The sequence below is a fragment of the Homo sapiens genome, chromosome 3, assembly GCF_000001405.40.
Source record: "Homo sapiens chromosome 3, GRCh38.p14 Primary Assembly".
Taxonomy (NCBI): domain Eukaryota; kingdom Metazoa; phylum Chordata; class Mammalia; order Primates; family Hominidae; genus Homo; species Homo sapiens.
In genome coordinates this window covers 173,345,512-173,353,978 of record NC_000003.12, presented here as the reverse complement: position 1 = coordinate 173,353,978, position 8,467 = coordinate 173,345,512, and the positions used below count along the sequence as shown (strand labels likewise).

The 8,467-nt window shown below is 34.9% G+C and overlaps 1 annotated feature.

Moving 5' to 3' along the window:
• Positions 302 to 1,009: an enhancer, noted in NCBI's record as "OCT4-NANOG hESC enhancer chr3:173070760-173071467 (GRCh37/hg19 assembly coordinates)". NCBI's record gives its function as "activates a minimal SCP1, AML or CMV promoter by ChIP-STARR-seq in naive H9 embryonic stem cells {active_cell/tissue: H9 hESC(naive)}" and the evidence as "EXISTENCE:reporter gene assay evidence [ECO:0000049][PMID:30033119]".

Below are 8,467 nucleotides of genomic sequence, written 5' to 3'. Positions count from 1 at the left end.
GGAAAAATATTTGCAAAACATATATCAGAAAGATAATTTATATTTAGAAAAATATTAAAAATTGCAAGTCAATAGTAAAAAGATATTCAACTGACAAAAAATATGCAAAGAACTTTAACAGTTATTTCACAAAAGAAATCGTGTGCTAGAATAGCCAATAAACACACAAAAATGGTGCTTTACAACATGAATATCCAGGAAAAAACAGATTATGATCACAATAAAACATCGCTTTACACCCAGTAGGATTGCTAAGATTCAAAAAAAAAAAAGAATGGGAATATTTAAGTTGGCAAATTTGTAGAGAAACTGGATCTCTCATTCTTTAATGGTATGAACGCAAAGTGGTATAACTGCTTTAGAGAACTGATTGGAATTTTCTCATGGTATTAAATACAAATATACCCTATGATACAGCAATTCTACAACTAGATATTTAGCCCAAAAAGTAAATATAAATATTTACACAAAACTTATACAATAATATTTGTCAGGCCTCTGAGCCCAAGCTAAGCCATCATATCCCCTGTGACCTGCAGGTACACATCCAGATGGCCGGTTCCTGCCTTAACTGATGACATTCCACCACAAAAGAAGTGATAATGGCCTGTTCCTGCCTTCACTGATGACATTGTCTTGTGAAATTCCTTCTCCTGGTTCATCCTGGCTCAAAAGCTCCCCTACTGAGCACCTTGTGACCCCCACTCTCCCTGCCAGAGAACAACCCCCCTTTGACTGTAATTTTCCTTTATCTACCCAAATCCTATAAAATGGCCCCACCCTTATCTCCCTTCGCTGACTCTCTTTTCAGACTCAGCCCACCTGCACCCAGGTGAAATAAACAGCCATGTTGCTCACACAAAGCCTGTTTGGTGGTCTCTTCACACAGACACACATGAAAATATTGATAACAGTTTTAATCATAATTGCTAAAACTAGAACCAACCAAATGTCCATCAAGAGGTCAATGAATAAATTGTGACATAGTCACCAAATGGAATACTACTCAGAAATGAATATGAATGAACTACTGACAATTCCCCCAAAATTAAATCTTAAAAATATTGTATTTAGTGAAAGAATCCAAACACAAGAGAGTACATACTATTTGATTCTATTTATATGAAAGCTAAGAACAGGCATAACTAATTTATGTATTAGAATAGTGGTTACTCACTTGATTGTAGTAAACTGGCTAGGAAGTGACCCAAAGGAAGTTTTGGGGAGCACAATGATCTCTATTTCAGTTGGAGTTGGAGTTGCACAAGTTTATAAACTTATCAAAACTCAAGAAACCGGACATTATATTTTACAATCTAGGCATTACATTTTGTCTCAAAAATGACAAATTATTGAATATAGGTAAGTTTGAGAGAAAGTAAGATGATACTAGAAATCAGGGAGAGAGAAGAAATGTGAGGGTGTGCAATCATGGACAAGATGAAAAGTTTGTGTCAGAGAAAAGAGAGGAAAAAAGGGCAATGAACAGGATAGCTCATAAATATAAAGTGCCCATAATATTACAAAGAATACCTGGAAAGGTAATAAAATTTTGTTATTAAGTACAATAAATAAAAATCAGGAGAAACAAAGTAAAGGGTAGATAATGAACAGGATCTAACAAACTTGAAGACACATATATATGTATGTATATATATATATATATATATATATATAGTCTTTTATATACACATATATAAAATTTTATTTTAATGAATTAAAAATTATAGATCTTTTTTCTTTTATAATTTATCCTTTTTGTGTCATGTTGTAATGAGAATGATGCAGTAAATGTTGCTACCTGGGCATCAGAAGTAGAGCAACACTCCCAAATGGCTCAAGCTGTTGGCCAGAGATAGCAGTTTGGAGGCATCTCTCCCACTTAGCTGACTGGGCTCCCTCCTGCTTTCCTGTGGCCTTCTTTAAACCACAGGAAGAGAAAGAGAAAAACATCTTTATATCTGATTAAACATCTTGTGTGACTTAAGAGAAAACTTTAAGTGTATTCATTATGACATTATTTTCTAGCAGTTCTGCTGACCCTGACCTCTCACATAAAAAAAATTGAAAAGAACTTTAGCAGCTGGCAAGTAGAACAGCTTTATGCTATTGCCATAAGGTGTGTTTGGGTCATTTGACAGGTTTTTTTTTTTTTTTTAATCCATCTAACTGAAAGATTTTTCTGCATTAAAAGTGTATTTGTTGTTTTGGTTTGGTTTTTCTTTTAGACATTTAGACTATGCCTTGCTTGTCATGGCATCACTGTACTGACTCAACACGAGCCAACAAAAGCCATTTATAACATTCACACATACATATTCTTTAAATAACCAAACTATTTGCATTAGCAATTATTTTTGCACTGCTTTGTGACATTTCTTGAATTACTCCTTAGAATATTATTTGATTTATTTATTCTTTCATGCTTAAGAAAACAGTTTCTGGAGATGAGGCCACCAAGATGGAAGAGTAGGGGATACCAGCCTTTATCCCTCCATAAAAATATATACACAGCTATCCACAAACCAAAATAGGCCAATGAGGGCTCAAAGGCCTATTAAAGAATCTGCAGCAATATAGGAGAGCAAAAAGACACTATATCCACATAGAAAGGATCATTGGTGAGACTGACATACCTGAGATGCCAGTAGATGACTAGGGACAAATAAGAAAGTCACAGGCTGTTGATATCCATCTTGTGACAGGAACCACTGTAGTTTCCAGAGGCCTGCTCCACAGAGGACACTGGCATCTTTTGCCACTGAGGTTACAATTTCTACCAGGGAACCTCAGGGAAGGAGACATGGCTACACACCCATCTTCTACCAAAGAAGCAACCACTATTGAGCTGCTTCAGGAAAGGAGCCGCCATCTCTCACAATCACAGCTGCCCTAAGTGTCCCAACACTCTAGACCCAAACTCCATTGGTGCATTGGGTCTGCCTGTGTCTCAAACACTGGAACCATAGCCATGACGAGCTAGTTCGCACTCTGAGCTCTGAAGCCAAGTTTTCATGGCACATGCCATATACATCCAGGCCCCACACTGACTTCAGAGACACTCAACTTGCACAAGCCTGTGTGCCCTTTAGCTCCGTGGCTGTTTCACAGGCACCCATGCCTCACAAACTATTAGCAACATGGTGGTAAATGTGCCTGCATCTCAGGGACTAGAGCAATTACTTTGCAGATCCCAGAACCAAAGTGCCCACACATGTGTCCATGCTTCATGCCTTCGTTTCATGGTCACTCATCAGATACCAATTCCACTGCCACCATGGCTGTGTCTGCAAGCCAGTCCCAGGGCCAAGAGGAATCCCCTCAGCCAAAATTTCCTCAGTAGGAGAAAGAGAGAAACACCTTAGCATCCATTGCCGCCAAAGACCTCAACAATCTTCATTACCACTGCAAACATCCAGTCTTGCTGCTAAGGATTCCTGCAATGTTTGTCAACACAAACCTCAGATGATAGAGCTGCACAAAGACTACACAGCAGTGCTGTCACTAGTGCCAGTACCTTTGCACCTCACCCAGAAAGTGCCCTCACAGCCTCCCTCATTTGGGAAAGGACTTTTTACAGAGAAACAAGTCCATAAACTTTGGAATAGGTGACTGGAATACATCAAACATGCAGACATCAATGTAAAAGGCAACCAGACACATGAAAAACCAAAGAGACAAAACATCACCAAAAGAACACAGTAATTTCCCAGTAGTTAATTCCAAGTAAATGAGGATATACAAACTGCCAAAAAGAATTTAAAAATAATTGTTTTAAGAAAGCTTAGTAAACTTCAAAAAATACAGAAATAATTCAACAAAATCAAGAAAGTAAGTAAATGTCCAAAACAAGAAATTTATCAGAATGGTTGAAATTATATACATTATTAAGAAACATAAAATCTGAAGCTGAAAAATATAGTGAAATGAAAAATGTAATAGAGACTGTCAATAGCAGAATTTATCACGCAGAAGAAAGAATCTGTGAACTTAAAGACTGGCTATTTGAAAATATACAGTTAGAGGAAAAGAAAGAAAAAAATAAGAAGAAATGAAGAAAGCTGACAGGATTTATGGAACAGCATCAAAAGAGCAAAATTCAAACTATAGAAGGTAAAGAAGGTTAAGAGAGAGACAAAGGAGAAGAAAGCTTACTTAAAGAAATGATAGCAAACAACTTTCCAAATCTGGGGGAAAATATAAATATTCAGTCACAGAAAAGTAAGAAGTCTCCAATCAGATTCAACCCAAACAAGACTACACAAAGACATATTATAACTAAATTGTCAAATATCAAAGGCAATGAGAGAATCTGGAAAGCAGCAAAAGAAGCAAATCACATGTAAAGGAGTTCTATTAAGGCCAGCAGTAGATGTCTCAGCAGAAACCATACAGAACAGAAAAGAATGAGATTACATATCCAAAATGCTGAAGGGAAAAAAACTGCCAACTAAGAATATGCAGAAAAGCTGTCTTTCAGAAATAAAGGAGAGATACTTTCACAAATAAAACCTGAGGGACTTGGTTGCCACTCAATCTGTCTTATAAGAAATGCTAAAGGGAGTCCTTCCAGTTGGAAAAAAATTAGTAACACAAAAGCATATGAAAGTATAAAACTCACTGATAAAAGTACATATACAGTCAAATTAAGAATACCTTCATACTGTAATGTTGTATGTTGTTTAGTATAAAGGTTAAAAGACAAAAACATTAAAAATATTAAAATCTACAATAATCTATTAAGGGATATACAATATAAAGTGATTAAAATTGTGATATCAAAAAAATGAGGAGATGAACTAAAATTGGATCTTTTTATGTGATCAAAGTAATATTTCTATAAACTTAAATAGCCTGTTATTATTATAAGATATTTTATTAAGCCTCATGGTTACTGCAAGGCAAAAATCTATAGTAAATATACAAAAGCCTAAAAAGTAAGGAATCAAAGCATACCACTGGAGACAATTATCTAGTCACAAAGAATTCCAGCAAGAGAGTAAGAAAGAAACAAAGGATCAACAAAACAAAACAAAAACAATTAACAAAATGGCAGTAGTCAATTCTTACCTATCAGTAAATATTGTGAATGTAAATGAATTAAATTCTCCAATCAAAAGACATAGACTAGCTGAATGGATAATAGGAGAGCCAACTATACACAAGTGACTTACTTCACCTTTAAGGACACCCTTGAAAGTGAAAGAATGGAAAAAGGTATTCCATGCAAACGAAAACCAAAAGAGAGAAAACAAATAAAAACCAAAAGAGAGAAAGAGTAACCATACTTATAACGCATAAAATACAATTTAAGGCCAGGCACAGTGGTTCATGCCTGTAATCCCAGCACTTTGGAAGGCCAAGGCGGGCAGATCACCTGAGGTCAGGAGTTCGAGACCAGCCAGGCCAACATAGTGAAACCCTGTCTCTACTAAAAATACAAAAAATTAGCCGTGTGTGGTGGCAGCCGCCTGTAATCCCAGCTACTCGGGAAGTTGAGGCAGGAGAATCACTTGAACCCGGGAGGCAGAGATTGTAGTGAGCTGAGATGGTGCCATTGCACTCCAGCCCAGGTGACAGTGAGAGCCTCCATCTCAAAAAAAAAAAAACAAAAAAAAAAAACACACAAAAACAAAAACCAAAACCATTTTAAGTCCAAAAGTGTAATTCAAGAAAAAGAAGGTTATTATATACAGTTGACCTCTGATCAACTGGGTTGTTCAGGGTTTGAATTGCACAGATTCACTTATACATAGGTTTTCTTCTGCCTCTGCCACTACTGAGACAGCAAGACCAGTTCTTCATCTTCCTTCTCCTCCTCAGTCTACTCACACTGAAAAGGCTACACGAAGACCTTCATGATGATCCACTTCCACTTAATGAATAGCAAATATATTTTCTCTGTCTTATGATTATCTCAATAGCATTTTCTTTTCTCTGGCTTATTTTATTGTAAGAATATAGCATATTACACATATAACATACAAAATATGTAATAATCAACTGTTTACATTGTTGGTAAGGTTTCCTGGTAAGAGTAGGATATTAGTAGTTAAGATTTTGGGTAGTTAAAAGTTATACATAGATTTTTGACTGTATAGGAAGTTGATGCCCCCAACCCCCATGTTGTTCAAGGGCCAACTGTAGTGATAAAGAGATCAATTCATTAAGAAGATGTAATTGTAAGTATATAGATGCGCAGTATGACAACATCTAGGTACAGAAAGTAAGTATTAATAAATCTGAAGAGAGAGAGAGACTGCAATTGGGGACTTCAATCTTCCATTGTTAACAATTGGCACATCATCCAGACAGAAAACCAATAAGGAAACACTGAACGTATGCTACACTTCTAACAGACATATACAGAACATTTCATTCAACAGCAGCAAAATACACATCCTTGTCAAGCATTCACAGAATGTTCTCTGAGACAGATTACACGTTGGGCCACAAAAGAAGCCAACAAATTAAAACTGAAACCACATCAAGTAAAATAGAGAAAATATTAATGCCTATTATATCAGGTTATGGTGATGATTAAATACTAAATGCTTAGAATAGCACTAGGAACACAAAAGTCCTAGATAAGTGTTAGGGATCATTTTATTATGATGATGATTGTCATTAATATCAGCAGCAGCATCAAGGGATCCTATCATTACAGCCTTTTTGGTACAAAAAATCCATTAGTATGGGATCAGAATTTTTATCCAGTCCACAATATTGGGCCCCATAGTTCAAGATATAAGATTAGCTATAGTCATTGTTGCAAATGTGGATTTGTAATGGATATAAATATTAATTTGGGTAGGACTGGCTTATGAAACATGAAAAGATACATTTCTGAAACTAAAACACGGAGAATCCATGTCTAAATTATAGTAAATTCACCAAGACAATATTACCACCATGGGTACCTGTTCTGTAGGTGAAACTTACTATATCTTATTTTCTCCTTCCCGTTAATCATAATTATGTCTAGGTTAGGTAACAGTAATAAAATTACTATATTATTGTAAAGAATAGGGAAAGACTGTAACCCTGAGTATGAAAAGCAAACTTGGGGTGAGAAAATTGAAAAAATGGGCAAGTCTATGTTTTGCATTTTAAAAGTTGAATAGTTCTAATTGGCAACAGCTTAACAGTGGAAACTAACATCATTAATTACAATTTAGTACGATGATTGCCATTGTATTATACAATGTGCAATGAGAAAGGAGAAGAAATGTATTTAATCTTCCTGAGGGAGTCAGGCCCTAGGTATACACAAAAGTGACCATTAGGGAAGAAAGTCATCAGTTTTGAGACGATTAAGAATCTGTAGAGTCAAGGTACTAGAAGCTACACCATTATTAATATTGAACTTATTGAAGGGAGATCAGAGAAAAAAAATTTCAATTTATTTTTCAAATTGACAAATAAAAATTGCCGATGTTTATGGTGTACAACATGATGTTTTGATATATGTATACATTATGAAATGGCTAAATCAAGCTATTTTACTTAAGCATTACTTCACATGCTTATTATTTTTGTGTGGTGAAAATGCTTAATATCTACTCTGTTAGCAATTTTCAAGTACACAATGTCGTTGTTAAACGTAGTCACCATAATATACAATAGGCCTCTTAAACTTATTTCTATTGTTTAACTGAAATTTTGAGTCTTTTGACCTAAATCTCCCCGATCTCCCCATCCCCCATCCTCTGCTAACCATAATTATACTCTCCGTTTATGCACTTGACTTTTTTCCACACATCATTGACATCATAAATGTTCTTCAGCACTTGGCTTATTTCAGTTACCATAGTGTCCTCCAGGTTCATCCATACTACAAGAAATATTTAGGTAGTCTTTAGATAAAAATAAAATAACAGTCAGAAATCTGGATCTACACAAAGAAATAAGAAGCACTGAGCATGGTGACTACATAAATAAATAAATATATATATATTGTTTTATGTAACTATCTTTAAAATAAAATTGTTTAAACAAAAAAAATGTAGTAGTGTGTGGTTCAGAAGATACGTAAAGCTAAAATGTAGGAAAACAATAGCATAAATATCAGGAGGGAAGAAGTGGAAGTACACCATTATAAGGTTTTAATATTATACTTTAAGTGGTATAATATTAATTAAAAGTAGACTGAAAGGTTAAAGTTATATACTATAAACGTTAAAATAACTTAATATTTTTAAAAACCACAAAGAATTATATAGGCAATCATTCAACAAATGAGATAGAAAAGGATCATAAGGATATGCAATTAATCTCTAAAAATGTGGATAAAGGGAGTGAAGAACTGATGGGACAAACAGAAAACAAATAGCAAATGATAGCTTTAAGCCTAACAGCATCAGTAATTACATTTAAAGCAAAAAGTCTAAAGGCCCCAAATAAAAAGGAAATATTTCTAGTTTAAATATAAAGTAACTCCTCAATATTTGTTGCCTACAAAAAACAT